This window comes from Homo sapiens, chromosome 8, assembly GCF_000001405.40.
Source record: "Homo sapiens chromosome 8, GRCh38.p14 Primary Assembly".
NCBI lineage: Eukaryota > Metazoa > Chordata > Mammalia > Primates > Hominidae > Homo > Homo sapiens.
Window position 1 is genome coordinate 46,864,648 of NC_000008.11, and position 16,318 is coordinate 46,880,965.

A 16,318-nucleotide genomic window follows, 5' to 3' on the forward strand; every position below is an offset into this window, starting at 1 on the left:
ACAGGACACCCACTGCCTTGCTGCAGCAGCACAGTCAGGCCAGTTCTCTGATTTGGACCTTATGCCAAGGAATTAACAGGCCCACTTCTGCTCTGTCCCAGGTGCTGAACTCCTTAGTTCTGGAACTAAATGTGAATTCTGGACTCCGGAATGCCAGTTGGCTTTCACATGCCAGAGGAGTGAGGAGGCCCAGGTGGGCCTAAAAATGTGGCTGTTGGTTGGCCTTCCACACATGTCTGGTTGCTTCTGTGCCTATGCTTGCAAGGAAGAGGGATCTTCTTCCTCAAGACAAGCCCAAGGAGGTCTCAAGCAAGCCCAAAGAGGTCTGAGGCTTATGGGAGCCAGTGGAAAAAAAAAATGATGCCTCAGTCCAGTGCTTTTGCCCTTCCTGGCTTGGGGCTTTGGGGGATCAATTTGCTGATCAGAAAATAGGCAATGAGAGCCCCTCATTGACTGGCTACTCACCCCACTTTTAATAGGCCACTGCACCGTGCCCACCATGCAGCTCTAGGTACAGTCTGGGCTTCAAGATCCTGGGGCATCTCTGGGCTGGGTTCAGGGCCCTGAGAAGGTTCTCCCTCTCAGGGACCCCCCATGCCTACCCCTTTGTGCCCACCTGACAGCTCAGCGTATCTGCTGTATGACACCCTTATTGCCTGCTCTTGCCAAGCCCATGTCTCCCCGGGGTGGCCAGGGGCACATGCTCACTGAAGCCCAGGTGGCCTGTCCATCCTTCCTCCAATGCACAGCCTCAGGCAGGTGCCACCCAGGTTTCCTCCTAAAATGTGATCTCAGGGGGTCACAGCAGCACATTCTGCTCTAACTTACTGACTAGTTAATAAGTCACTAAATGTGCAAAGTTGGGTGTGGGCCTTGACACTCTTGATTGCCTTCCTCTAGTGGGGCTGCATTGGGCATTGCCATACTGAATTGTTTGTGGAAAAAGCTAGCAGGTGAGGCAGGACTCAAGGGCCAGGGAAAGGACAGAGCACCGAGGCTGGACTCTCCCAGGGCCCTCTGAGGCCCCTGCAGGTAGGAGGATGCAGTGGAGCTCCAGGCCCCTTTTCTAGTGTGGTGCTGAATAGAGCCTTCCTGGAGCACCAAGAAGTCCCTACTCTTTCTGCAACCACCACCCATTGGTCTCTAGGAAGTGAACATCCATTTATATTTGTGGACATGGCCTTCTGCTTAATTTCCATTGGATGTTCTCCTAGAAGAAATGTCTAGGGAATCCTGGGCCTGTGGTGGAGTTTCTCTAAGTGCCAGTCTCAAGAATACAATTAATAGTATTTTGTGCACATTACTATCTCAGGGTTACTTTTGCCCAATAATGTGTAGAAAATAAATATTAACATTTTTATCCCTTACATTATTTTAATTAGGTAATCTTAAAAACTTTTTATTTTCCTGAAATTTATTTTCATGCCAATCATCAAATTGTGGGTTTTTCTTGTTCAAATTATTACCTGTTTTAGAGGCAAAATCTTAAAAATAATATGCTACACAAATACTAACAAGTGAGAGAAATGTATTTAAAATGTAATTAGATTTCTTAAATAAATAATTTAAGTAATTATTTACTTAATTATAGTTTATATACAAATTATAGTTTATATTATTTGTATGAATTATTTTACAGCTTATCCTCAATGTTAAAAAAAATAGCTAGGTATGCAATCAAAATTGACAGATTTTTTTAAATAGGCAACTTAAAAACATTTTATTGGCCGTGTTGAGCAATATAATTCTCAAATATTTTATCTTAAAAATTAACACACTTAATAGTCATAGTATCTATGAAAGTAACATTGTAAGCATGTTTTTATAGTTGCCAAAATATTAGGAGAAAAAAATTATTTATTTTCCTTATAAAATTTAAATTGTTTCTCTTACTATATGCAGAATATTATGCTGATCACTTTCCACTCTCCTATCATCCTGTCACTTATGATACTGTTGTAAACCAACCACTAAGTGGCCTTTCCACTTAGAATGTCTTCAGGTATCTTAGATTTCAGTTTTCTAAATCTTCTATAGGAAAGTATGTAAATCTGTCCATCTAATGTAGAAGAACCTCTCATAACTCTGGTGCAACAAGCATTGACCATGTTCTTTCCCATAAATTCTAGAAATGAAGACATAGCATCAAATGCAAGAGGTAAATTATGCCAATATTTGAGTTTGAAAATATATTAAACTCTTTCAATATAAAAAAGTAGATTCCTTTTAGAGGAAAGTGATCAAGATTGCTGACTGGAAGCAGCTAGACTCCCTAGTTCTCATAAAGAGGAATGCAAAGTATGCATAAATACAGCACCTTCAAATGAAACATCCAGCTACTTGCATTGGGACTAATTTAAAAAACAACTTAAGTTATGGAGAATGAAGTAAAACAAGGCAGGACAACAGGCCACCTGGGAACAACATGGAGCCAAGGGAACCTCCCCACCCAGTAAAGCAGTGAGTGCATGTGGGCCCTGGGAACCCATGATTCTCCCACAGATCTTTGCAACTCTCAGGTGAGGAGATACCCTCATGAACCCACTTCATCAAGGCCTTCAGTTGAACACACAGAGCTACATGGAGTCTCAGCAGAGCAGCCACTCGGGCCTGTGCAGAGACTCAAGAGCCTTAGATACTCTGGCTTTCCAGGCTTCTCCAAAAACGTAGCTACAAGTCCAGCAAAGCAGGAGGTTACACACCTGTACATAGGAAAGAGGAATTTCCTATTCCTCTTTCTTCAGGCTTTGAAGAGTCCAAGTTGACTGGGGGCAGAAAGGATCTCCTAGCACAGTACACATGCTCTAAAAAGACATGGTCAGACTGCCTGTTAAAGCAGGTTCCCAATCTCATTCCTGCTCACTCAAAAATACTTCTTAACCAGGGTGTCCCGTTACCACCTTTCCATCTTTGGTCAATGGAATTTTGAAACCTCTTTGGGATATAGTTTCTAGAGCAAGAGGGAGCTGCCATTTTTGCTGTTTTCGTGACTTAGCTGTTCCAGCCTTCTGGCTTTGGAGAATCCAAATAAATTGGGGATGCAAGTGGTACTTCTGCACAGCACACCTGTCCTACAAAAATGTGGCTAGGCTGCTTTCTTAAGTGGATCCCTAATCATGTTCTCTTCACTGGGTAAGACCTTTCAACAGGGGTTTCCAGCTACTTCCTACAGGAGCTTTTGACCTGGAAACAAGCCTATACCTCCCTAGGATGGAGTTACCAGGGAAAAGGGCATGCTGCCATTGCTGCTGTTTTGCAGCATTTGCTGGTGATCACTTTAGGTACTGGAAAATCTGAGGTGACTAGAGACTGCAGTTGACACCTAGCAAACTATAGCAGCCCTTCAGAAAAGTGGCCAGACTGTTACATGAGTGCCTGCTCGCATATATTCTCACTGGGCAGGTTCTCCAGGCCTGGGCCAGAGGTATTGAGCCAGTAGAAACTTAGCAACTCCCTGGACAGAGCTTCCAGGGGAAACTGAAAATATTTCTGCCACTGCCTCTGCAGTAGAACTGTCCTTGCTATGCTCAGACTAATGATAAATCCAAAACCCTAAGTGCCTTATTCACACCTCAAACAAGGTGCAGTTTACCCAAGGAGATGAGGCCAGTCCATCCTCCATGGGTCCCACAAACTACCCATTGCTCCTCACCAGACAGTGAATGCCTAAATTGGCCAAAAGCACAGATCTTCCTTCCTGAGCTGACTGCACTGAGGGATTGCTGACCTACATCTCCCTGAGATGCAACCCCCAGAAGACAAGCAAAAAGGTGGGGCAGCAAGCCAGCTCATGTGGTGCCCAGAGGGTTTGGCACAAGAGAATCTGTAGTTAAGTGTGGCCTGTGATGGCCATTTCTCTAGGCTCAACTTTCTCCCATAAGAGACTTCAGCACTAGGGGAACTGTTGGACCTAATTTCTGCAGGATGGTCTTGCAAATCAGAAGAACCTGGTCCAACTGAGCACTCCTTTGTCTGTTGGCCTCTCCCAGGGACCCAGTCTGGCTACAGATGCTGACAGGGCAGTCTCAGGTACCCTGGGAGCCCATACCATAGCATCTGCACTGGTGGGCCGCACCTGATCCCTGAAGTGCTCCAGCAAGGCAGTCCCTATGACTGCACCAGCCCATATGTTTCCTCCCCATACTGAAGGGGAAGCCCTGGCATCATGGCAACTCCCCACATTACTTTGCTGGCACATGTCTGCAAAGGAGGGTTTGGATTTGCTTGCCCCACCAGCAAATGGGAATGCAGTATGCCCCTGCCACCCTCAGTGACTGCCAATGGAGATGAAGCTTTGGTGGGCAGAGAGCCAGAAAGCCCCACCCCTACCTTTTTCCTAACACTTTATGGAGAATGGGGTATCCTTCCAGACACCTTCTTGGGAGGGCATAAAAAGCATCAAAATCTTCACTAGCCAGCATCCTGCCCCAAGCCAACACCACCTTTAGTGCAACAATGCACAGTCTCCAGCATGTATCCCCACTCCCCTCCCAGCTGCTTTGCTCCTGCCACTGAGGTGAATGCCCAAAGACAGGCAGAAACCCCATATCCACTAGCACTCTGCTGCAGTGGTGGCACTTTAGTCTTACACAGTGGCAGACTCCAAATATCAAGGAGCCATGGAAGACAGTTGGGGCTCAATACAAGTCCCCCAGAGTATGCAGCCTCTGAGTAGTGAGCTGAGCATTGCTTCCCCACCACCACACACAAAAAAATCTCCCAGGAACAAAGCAAGTTGGCTGAATCCACCTTATACCACAATCAAATATTCAAGAGCATCGAATAGGATGAAAAAAAACCAAAACCCCATTCAAAGGTCAGCAACCTCAAAGATATGCCCACAAAGATGAGATTAAATCAGTGCAAAAATGTTTAAAACCCAAAAAGCCAGAGTAACTTCTTTAACCCAAATGACCAAATTATGTTTCCAGCAAGACCTAATATGTCAGAAGTAGAATTCAGAATATGGATAGAAATAAACTTCATTGAGCTACAAAAGTAAGTTGCAACCCAATTCAAGGAAGGGAAAAAATTGCAGGAACTGTCAGAAAAAAACAGCCAGTCTGGAGAAAAATGTGGCCAACCTGATAGATCTGAAAAACACAATACAAAAACTTTTTAATGTAATCACAAGTATTAACAGCAGAATAGGCCAAGCAGAGGAAAGAATCTCACAGCTTCAAGCCTGGATTTCTGAAATAAGACAGACAAGAATAGTGAAAAAAGAATAGACAGGAATGAACAAAACCTCTATTAAATAAGGGATTATGTAAAGAAACCAAATCTGTGATTAAAGAGAGTGCCTGAAAGTGATGAGGAGAATGAAAACAACTTGAAATACATATTTCAGGATATCATCCATGAGAACTTTCCCAACCTAGATACAGAGGCCAACATTCAAGTGCAGGAAATGTGGAGAACCCCAGTAAGATACCCCATGAAAAGTTCATCCCCAAGATATATAATCATGAGATTCTCCAAGGTCAAAATGGAAGAAAAAAATGTGTTAAAGGCAGCTAGAGAGAAAGGGGAGGTCACCTCTAAAAATAGCCCATCAGACAAACAACAAACCTTTCAGCTGAAATCCGACAAGTCAAAAGAGATTAGGGGCCAATATTCAACATTCTTAAAAAAAGAATTTCAACCCAGAATGTCATATCTGACCAAAGTAAGCTTCACAACTAAAAAATAAATATAATTCTATTCAGATTAGCAAACACTGAAGAGATCTGTTACCACAAGACCTGCCTCACAAGAGCTTCTGAAGAAAGCATTAAATAAGAAAAAGACTATTACCACTCACTACAAAACGACAGTGAAGTACAACTGTAGACACTATAAAGCAACCATGTAAACAACTGCGCAAAGTAGCCAGCTAAGATTACTTGTAGTGACAGAATCAAATCCACACATCTGAATACTAACCTTAAATGTAAATGGGCTGAATGCCCCAGTTAAAAGAGTGGCAAGCTGAATAAAGAATCAAGATCTAATGGTAGGCAGTAATCGAGACACCCACCTCAAATAAGTTCAAAATAAAGGGAAAAAGAAAAAACCTACCAAGCAAATATAAAACAGAAAAAAACAGGGGTTGCAATCCTAGTTTCTGGCAAAACAGACTTTAAATCAACATAGATTTTTTAAAAAAGACAAAGAAGGGCATTCCATAATAGTAAAAGTCTATATATGCACCCAACACAAAAGCATCCAGATTATAAAGCAAGTTCTTAGAGACCCCCCAAGATGTTAAGTTAAATGTTCTTCAACAGTCATTACCTTTATATTGCATTTGTTCAGTATTAAGTCTCTGATGTTGAACACAATATGAGGACTTGTTAAAGGCTTTTCCACATTTTAAACCCTTGTGGAGCTTCTTTCCAGTATGAATTCTCTGATGTCTGATGAGGTGTGAGAATGAGCTCAATGCTTTGCCACATTCTTCATATTTGCTGAGTTTCTCTCCATTGTGAAATCTCTTATGATTAGTGAGGTCTGAGAAGCACTTAAAGGTTTTGCCACATTCTTTGCATTTTTAATGTCTCTCTTCCATATGAATTCCCTTCTGGTTAATAAGGGTTGAGGAGTGGGTAAAGGCTTTGCCACATTCTTCACAGATGTTAGGTTTCTCTCCAGTATGAATTCTCTTATGTTTACTAAGGGCCAAGAACCATGTAAAAGCTTTTCCACATTCATTACATTTGTAGGGTTTCTCTCCACTATGAATTATCTTATGTTTAGTAAGGTCTGAGAACCACCTATAGGCTTTGTTACATTCTTCACATTTGTAGGCTTTCTCTGCAGTATGAATTCTCTTATGATTAGTAATGTTTGAGAAGCACTTAAAGGCTTTGTCACAATCTTCACATTTGTAGGATCTGTCTCCAGGATGATGTCTCCTGTGTTTAATAAGGGTTGAGGAGAGGGTAAAGTTTTGCCACATTCTTCACATTTGTAGGGTTTCTGTCCAGGATTAACTCTCTTATGTTCAGTTATGTTTGAGAAATTTGTAAAGACTGCCACATTCTTCACATTTGTAGCATCAGTCTGCAGTATGAATTCTCTTCTGTATAGTAAAATCTGAGAACAACCTACAGTCTTAGCCACATTCTTCACATTTGTAGCATTTCTCTCTGCTAAAAATTTTCTTACATTCAGGGAAGGTTGAGCACAACTCAAAAGCTTTGACATATTTATTACATTGACAGGTTTTGTTATGGGTAGTTGACAAATATTGAGGAAGGCCATTATAACTGCTTTTCTGTCCCTTGCAATTACTCACACTTTGGTAGTCATTCTTTAAATGTAAACTATTAAGGTCACAGCTTCCATATTTTACCAGAATTGCTTTTTGAAATGAATCTTGTATGTCATACTCCAGCAATATCTTTGCAGTAAACTGAAAAAGCCAGCTGAAGAAATACAGAACAACAAAATTTCTCCTTCACTGGACTCAGGTGAATACACTTTACAAGTATATAATTATACAAAGCATATTAGGAAGGTGACAGTAAAATACCACAGGCTCTAATTCCTTTATAGACATATAAACTTAACAGAAATATACTGATAAAAATGCCTTTGTGAAAAGTCTAAGAACCAGATAAACCTTTGCAGGACCCTAAGTGAGCAAAATGCCAAGAACCACATAGTAGTATATTAAAAGTGTTCCATAGTTACCCACCACAGCCATTCTTTATCCTATCATGACTTTACATGCGTAGAGGCAGGTGCCTGTAATCCCAGCTACTTGGGAGGCTGAGGCAGGAGAATTGCTTGAACTTGGGAGTTAGAGGTTGCAGTGGGCCAAGATTGTGCCATTGCACTCCAGCCTTGGCAACAAGAGTGAAACTCCAACTCAAAAAAAAAAAAAAAAGAAAGAGAAAAAGAAAAATAAAAAACATTTGGAATCTTTTTTTTAACTAAAAAATACACAAATCCAGAGAAAACATCCAGAGAACAGGCTTGAGAGACTGTAAGAATCTCTAGCCTAAAAAATTGGCATAATATTCCCACAGACAAAAGCCACTTAATAAAGATTTTGATATGTGGCTTTTTATTATACAAATTGCAACCTAAGATTACAACATATACAAAACATAAAGAAAATATGGCTCAATCAAAGATAAATATGAATATCCAGAAATCAATTATAAAAAAAGGAGATTTAAAAATTACCTGAGACATTTTGAATTAAAGTCTATACATATTAAAAAAAAATTACCCTAAAAATCCAAAGTTACCATCTCAGTGATGCTCAATGAGTAAAATGGAAATAAAGAAAACAAAATGAAATAACAAAAATGAAACCAAACCATAAAATAAAAACCACAAAAAGAAATAAAAATTGTGGAGTATAAGTACAAAAAAGAATAATATGCACTTCAACATTAGTAAAAAAATATAAGAAAATCAAGAGCTCAGCAAATTTCAACTAAGATTAACACAAAGAGATTTCTAATAAGACACAATGTAAGCAATGTATTGAAAGTCACAGAGAAGTAGAGAATGTGGAAAGCAGGAAGAAAAAAGAGATGCGTTATTTGTGTGCAAGCTTCTGCAAGGTTACCAGTAAATGTATGAACATAATTCTTTCAGGCAAGAAAGGAGTAGAAAGGCATAGTTAAAACACCGAAAAAGAAAGTCTAAGCAAGAATACTATATCCAGCAAAAGTATCCTTCAAAATGAAAATAACAGTCTAACTATATCATGACCTATATCAAGATCTAACTATGTCATGTTTTCAAGAGACTCACTTCATATCTAATAAAAAATATAGATGGAAAATGGTAGGATGAGAAATACTTTCCATGCAAGCGTTAACCAGATGAGAGAAGAAGAGGCAATAATTTAAAACAGTCCTATTTCATGTAATTTACTTTAAGTCAAAATTCACAAAAGAAAAAGTAGGATATTCAATTATAGTAAGAGGGTTCATTTACTGAGAACCTACAAATATATGACATTTTTCCCAAACACATAAAGCAAACATTGACAGAACTGAGGCAAAAATAGACAGCAATATAATAATGGAAGGATACATCAATATCCCACTTTCAGTAATAAATAAAGCACAATAGAATATCAATACAGGAACAAGAAACTTGAATGCACTGTACAATAATTACACCTAACAAATGTATACAGACAACAGAATACACATTATTTTCAATAGCTCATAAAACGTTTTCCTAGATGGACCACCTGTGACACCACAAAAGAAGCCTTAACAATATTTTAATTGAAATTTTACAGACAATTTTTATAACCCATAAGGAATGGAAATAGAAATCAGTAACAGAAGAAAAGCTGAAAAATTCAAAATGCAAAAATTAAACAGCACACCAGGTTCAAGTGATTCCCCTGCCTCAGCCTCCTGAGTAGCTGGGACTACAGGCATGCACCACCATGCCAATCTAAGTTTTTGTATTGTAGGAGAGATGAGGTTTCACCATATTGGCCAGGTTGGTCTCAGTCTCCTGACCTTGCCATGCACCCTCCTTGGCCTCCCAAAATGCTGAGATTACAGGCATGAGCCACTATGCCCAGATAACAACACACTTTTGAGCATGCTCTTTTTCAACGGAACATGAAAAACCTCACAATCTTTAAAAAGAAAAAAAATATTGGAAACATTACATTTAACAATTTACAAACATAAATAAACCTTCAGTAATCAAAGCACTTTGGTACTGTTATAAAGGTAGAACACCAAAGTAATGAAACAGAATGCAGCACAGATATAAACTCTTTACTAGAGAGAAGAAACATACCACCTAGGTTTTGCATTCAGCCGTATGTCACAATTCCTTCAGTAAGCAGGACGCAGGCAGGAGAGAAGAGTTACATTACCTAGACACTAGTTTCAGCGATATTTCAAAATGCCTTCTAGGGGCAGGGCACAGGCTGGAGAAACACATCACCTAGCTTAGAGGCCAAGAGATGTGTGATAATATCCCCTATTGACAGGGCCCAGGCAGAAGAGTCACACTATTATGATTATTACCTAGCAATATGTAACAATGCACCCATGGAAAGGAATTTGAGCCAAAAAGTCTCAACACCTGGGTATGAGGCCCAGTGATATGACACAATCTCCTCATCTTTGAGGGTGACACCTTTAACTTTTAGCTCAGCATGTATGTTAGAGTCACAATCTTACATGTGTGCTGGGCCAATGTAAGACACTCTCTACAACATCTGAGGGCTGCATAAAACCTGCATGAGAGTTGGAAACCTCTCTGAGGCCTACGTGCTTGTATGGACTCACAGTCTTACATATTGCCCTAAACCCAGGTTTGATAGTCAACATCTCTCTTATAGGCAGGGCTAAGAAAGAAGACCCCTTATTATGCCACTGGGCTGCTTCCAGAAATGAGTCACCATTCCACCTGTGGCCAGATCCATCTGTAAAAGCCACATTTCCAACATTCTACTCTATTCCTCTGTTAGACTCAGGCCCTCAAGAGTGGGCATTGTAAATGTGGTATGGTGACAACTTTTAATTTCACCTGGGTGTGTAACGGAGAGTCCCAATCTGAACATTTTGCTGGGCCCTGTTATGAAACTCTCTACCACCAAAGATTTTATATAATATAAGTTAGTATGTCATAATCCCATTTGTGGGCAAAAAAACCAACGAGAAGGTTAACATCACTTAGGTGCTATACCAAGCAATATGTCAAGATGTTTTCTCTTGGCAGTGCCTAGCAAATAGGTTCACATTAACTGGGGGCTGGAGCAAGCAATATGATACAAACACACCTGGAAGAAACACAGCAAAGTGATAAGAGACAAAACACCTACAAAATGGGCCAAAGATATGTCAAAATACCTTCTGTGGCTCTGAAACTAACAGCAGAGTCACATCATTAGGGTGCTGGGCCAAGCAATTTGCTACAATTACCTCTTTATGCATGACCTAGGCAGAAGAGTAACATCACCCAGGTGCTGGGCTCTGAAATACAGCAAAAGTCCTGTTCATGGGCATTGTTCAGCAACAAAATGAGAGTCACATTACCTAAATGCTGGGCTCATCAATATGTCACAATCTTTCCATTGTAAAGGCCCAGATAGAAGAGAGTCACATCACTTAGGTCATGGGCTCAAAGATATGGCCCAATGTCACCAGTAGGCAAGGCTCAGGGAGAAAAAGACAGTCATATCAGTCAAGAGATTGAGACCAGCCTGGCCAACATGGTGAAACCCCTCTCTACTAAAAATACAAAAATTAGCTGGGCACTGTGGCACATGCCTATAGTCCCAGCTACTGAGGAGGCTGAGGCAGGAGAATCACTTGAACCTGGGAGGTGGAAGTTGCAGTGAGCCAAGATGGAGCCACTGCACTCCAGCCTGGTGACAGAGCAAGACACCATATTTAAAAAATAAATAAGACAGTCATATCACCTAGGTGCTTCTTTAGGTATATGTCACAATTTAATATGTGGATGGAAAACAGGCTGAAGAGCCACATCACGTAGTACTGGGTCCTGAGATATTCACAAGTCCTCCTTAAAAAAGGACCCAGGCAAGAGAGTAACATCACCTAGGTGCAGTTTCTACCCTTATGTCACAATGCTACATGTGGGCAGGGCCAAGCAGGAAGTCACATCACCTAGGTGATAGGCCCAGAGATACATCACAAAGCCTTCCTTAAAGCATGGCCCAGGCAAAAGAGTACCTTTGTGCCTGGCCTAGCAATATGTAACTATTCAAGCAGGCACATCCAAGCAGAAGAACCATATCACCTACATGATAGGCCCTGTGATACATCAAAATCCCTCTTTTGGGCATGGCCCTGGCATGAGAGTATCATCACCTGTGTGCCTGGCCTAGGAATATGTCACTATTTTGCACTTTGTAAGGGCCCATTCCAGAGAGGAGAGTTATGTGTTGGGAACAGGCCTCCCAAAATCTGGCCATAAACTGGCTCCAAAACTGGCCATAAACAAAATATCTGCAGCACTCTGACATGTTAATGATGGCTATGATGCCCATGCTGGAAGGTTGTGGGTTTACCAGAATGAAGGCAAGGAATGCCTGGCCCACCCAGGGTGGAAAACTGCTTAAAGGTGGTTTTTAAACCACAAACAATAGCATGAGCGATCTGTGCCTTAAGGACATGCTCCTGCTACAGATAACTAGCCAGACTCATCCCTTTATTTGGTGCATCCCTTTATTTCCCATAAGAAATACTTTTAGTTAATCTATAATCTATAAAAACAATGTTTATCACTGGCTTGCTGTCAATAAATAACGTGGTTAAATCTCTGTTCAAGGCTCTCAGCTCTGAAGGCTGTGAGACCCCTGATTTCCCACTCCACACCTCTATATTTCTGTGTGTGTGTCTTTAATTCCTCTAGCGTCACTGGGTTAGGGTCTCCCCAAACAAGCTGGTCTCGGCAATTGGCATCCATCATACGGGCTGGAATCCAGGTTGAAGGGTCACCTGATAAATGGTTGGAGAATGTGGAACAAAGCTGGAGGACACCAGAGTACTCTTAAGCGATCTGCGTGGTAAGAAGGGGAGTTCAGAAGCATCAAGGTAACAATGGGACAAGTATGAGCTCTGGTTCATTCCACCTTGGAACTTTTTCACACTGATGATGAGGAGGAAGGAGAGTATAACAAAGTAACAGAGCAGGTTTGTTTGCCAGCTAAACCTAAAGCAGCAAAGGAGGAAGAGGTTTATCCCTACACTTCTGCACCCTGTCATTATTATTTTGAAGAAAAACAGTGGCCTGGCCCTCCAGATATTTCTTTTCTGGAGGACACTGGGTGAAAAGTAGTTGCCGCAGGGACAGTTTGAGCAGCACCTTGAGCGACCGCTCTCAGTTCTATTCAGACAGGAATCCAGCAAGCTAGATGAGACGGTGATATAGAGGCTTGGCAGTTCCTTGTTAGAATGCACCCCCCCAGATCAACAGGGAAATTTTATAGCTACATTTAAGCCTTTTCCTTTTAAATTACTCAAAGAATTTGAACAAGCTCTTCATACTAAAAAAGAATGTAGAATAAATCAGCTAGTCAGGCTGCCAGATAGGGGAAAAAAGAAAACTGCTGAGCCTGAAATATTTCCAAAAGGTAGTAAAGGAAAACATTAGGCTAATCAGTGTCACTCTAAGTTTGATAAAGATGGGAACCCAATTTTGGGAAATGCCATGAGGGGCCCATCCTGGACCCCATTCCAAACTGGGGCATTTCTGGCTCAGGCCATTCCCTCACACCTGTACCATGTCTGTCCCCTGCCACAGCTGGTAGTGCCACAGTAGATTTATGCTGTACAAAAGCTGTGAGCCTTCTGCCTGGGGATCCCCTGCAAAAGGTCCCAACAGAAGTCTGTGGACCCTTGCCAGTGAGGACAATAGGATTACTTCTAGGAAGGTCTAGTTTAAATTTAAAAGGGGTACAAATATAAACAGGAGTCATTGATTCAGATTATAATGGGGAAATTCAAATTGTGATATCTACTTCTGTTCCCTGGAAAGCAGAGCCAGGAGAGCGTATAGCACAGCTCCTGATTGTGCCATATGTGGAAATAGGGAAAAGTGAAATTAAATGAACAGGAGGATTTGGAAGCACAAACAAACAAGGCAAAGCAGCTTATTGGGTAAATCAAATTACTGATAAACATCCTACCTATGAAATAACTACTCAGGAAAACAAATTTAAAGTTTTGGTAGATACAGGAGCAGACATTTCAATCATTTCTCTACAGCACTGGCTGTCCACATGGCCAATTCAACCCACTCAATTTAACATAGTTGGGGTTGGTAAAGCCCCTGAAGTATATCAAAGTAGCTACATTTTGCATTGTGAAGGGACCAATGGACAACCTGGAACTATTCAACCAATTATAACTTCTGTACCTATAAATCTATGGGGGAGAGATTTATTACAGCAATGGGAAGCACAAGTTCTAATTCCAGAACAATTGTATAGCCCTCAAAGTCAACATATGATGCATGAAATGGGGTATATCCCTGGTATTGGACTAGGAAAAAATTTGCAAGTTTTGAAAGAACCACTTCAAGAGGAAAGACAAAGTTCCCGCCAAGGTTTAGGATATCATTTTTGATAGCGGCCATTGTTAAGCCTCCAGAAACTATACTTTAAAATGGTTAACAGATAAACCAATTTGGATAGAACAATGGCCACTGAGTAAACAGAAACTGGAGGCTTTAGAGGAATTAGTTACTAAACAATTAAAAAATGGGCACATAGCTCCAACATTTTCCCCTCGGAATTCTCCAGTTTTGGGAATTAAGAAAAAATCAGGTAAATGGAGAATGTTAACTGACTTAAGAGCCATCAATTCAGTTATACAACCTATGGGAGCATTACAGCCAGGATTGCCTTCTCCTAATTCCAAAAAATTGGCCTTTAATTGTCATAAATTTAAAAGATTGTTTCTTTACTATCCCCTTAGCTGAGCAAGACTGTGGACGGTTTGCATTTACAATTCCTGTGGTAAACAACCTGCAGCCTGCTGAGCATTTTCATTGTTTCACAGATGGATCTAGTAATTGTAAAGCTTCTTATTCTGGATCAAAAGGTAAAGTTTTCCAGACACCCTATACTTCAGCTCAAAAAGCGGAGCTTGTAGCTGTAATTGAGGTACTGACTGCTTTTGATATGCCTATTAATGTGATTTCTGATTCTTCATACGTGGTTCATTCCACACAGTTAATTGAAAATGCTCAGTTACCATTTCATACAGGCAAACAACTGATGACTTTATTTACCCAATTACAAAGAGCAGTTAGGAATAGAATGCACCCTTTTTACATCACTCACATTAGGGCTCATACACCTTTTCCAGGACCTTTAACTAAAGGGAATCAAATGGCTGATTGCCTGGTAACTAATGCAATCCAATAACAAAAATTTGGAAAATAGGTAAAATAATAACTTGGGGTAGGAGTTATTCTTGTGTTTCTCCAGGACTGAATCAACAGCCAATTTGGATACCAACAAGACACCTAAAACCTTATCATGAGCCAGATGTTGAGGAAAAGATTCCAGGAGGATCCTGAGGATCCCCTAGTTACAGCCATGTTGAGACTGACACCGAGGAAGACCCCAACTGTCATGAGCAACACCCGTTGAACACAGCCACCAACCTGGGGACAGATCAAGAAGCTGTCACAGATGGCAGGAAAAAAAACTGAGAAAAGCAGGACAGCCAGTCACAATGAGTAATTTAATGGTAGCTATGATAGTAATGATCACCATTGCCATGTGTATTCCTTAAACAAGGGCTGACACAGAGAACAATTATACTAACTGGGCATATTTATTAATCTTGGCTGGTAATAATGCCTGAATGTAATCACTCCATGACACAGTTACACATGCTTTCTGGTCTCAGTATTTACCATAATAAATCTGCTCCTATAATTGAGGCATACCGCCCTCAAAAACCTATTTGTAAACAGGATTGGACCCAGTTAGAAATAATGAACGTACTTGTTTAGGAAGACTACATTACAGAACAGGCAGAGGTGCTGCACAGTGATTCCTATGGAATCATTATTGATTGGTCCCCTAAGGGGATGTTTAGCTTGAATTACACCTCTCAGTCTGCGTGCCATGGCCACACTATGTTCAGCTGGTCTGAACAAAATGGTCAGATGGTAGAAATGATAAGAAGTATGGCAAGAGTTTCTGTTATCTGGAACCATGGCAGTATAGTGGCACCTCAACCTCAAATGATATGGCCCTTTGTAGGAGCTAAACATAAGGATTTGTGGAAACTATTAATAGCTCTTAATAAGATCAAAATTTAGGAAAGAATAAAAAAGCATCTAGAGGGGCACTCTACAAACTTGTTTTTGGATATTACAAAGTTTAAAAAACAAATATTTAATGTGTCCCAGGCAAACCTGACCTTAATGCCAGGAACTGGAGTGCTTAAAGGAGCTGCAGACAAATTAGCACCTAGTAACCCATTAAAATGAATAAAAACACTTGGAAGCTCTGTGATTTCAATAACGATTGTACTTTTAATCTGAGTTGTTTGTCTTTGTATAGTCTGCAGATGCAGATCCCAACTCCTGTGAGAACACCGTGATGAAGCTGCCTTTGCTTTTATCACTTTGCAAATCAAAGAAGGAGGACATGTTGGGAACAAGCCCCCCAAAATCTGGCCATAAACTGGCCTTAAAACTGGCCATAAACAAAATATCTGCAGCACTCTGACATGTTAATGATGGCTATGACACCCACGCTGGAAGGTTGTGGGTTTACCAGAATGAAGACAAGGAACACCTGGCCCACCCAGGGTGGAAAACTGCTTAAAGTCATTCTTAAACGACGAAC

The 16,318-nt window shown here is 40.8% G+C and overlaps 1 long non-coding RNA gene and 1 pseudogene across 1 annotated transcript; one reads left to right on the forward strand and one right to left on the reverse strand.

The window, feature by feature from the left end:
* Positions 1-6,161: 6,161 nt before the first annotated feature.
* On the reverse strand, positions 6,162-7,412 carry LOC728587 (zinc finger protein 736 pseudogene; annotated as a pseudogene).
* Positions 12,310-15,367, forward strand: LOC105375813 (uncharacterized). Its single transcript, XR_928836.1, has 3 exons — positions 12,310-12,514; positions 14,427-14,552; positions 14,942-15,367. It is a non-coding gene; the product is annotated as an uncharacterized LOC105375813 (long non-coding RNA).
* The last annotated feature ends 951 nt before the right edge of the window (positions 15,368-16,318 follow it).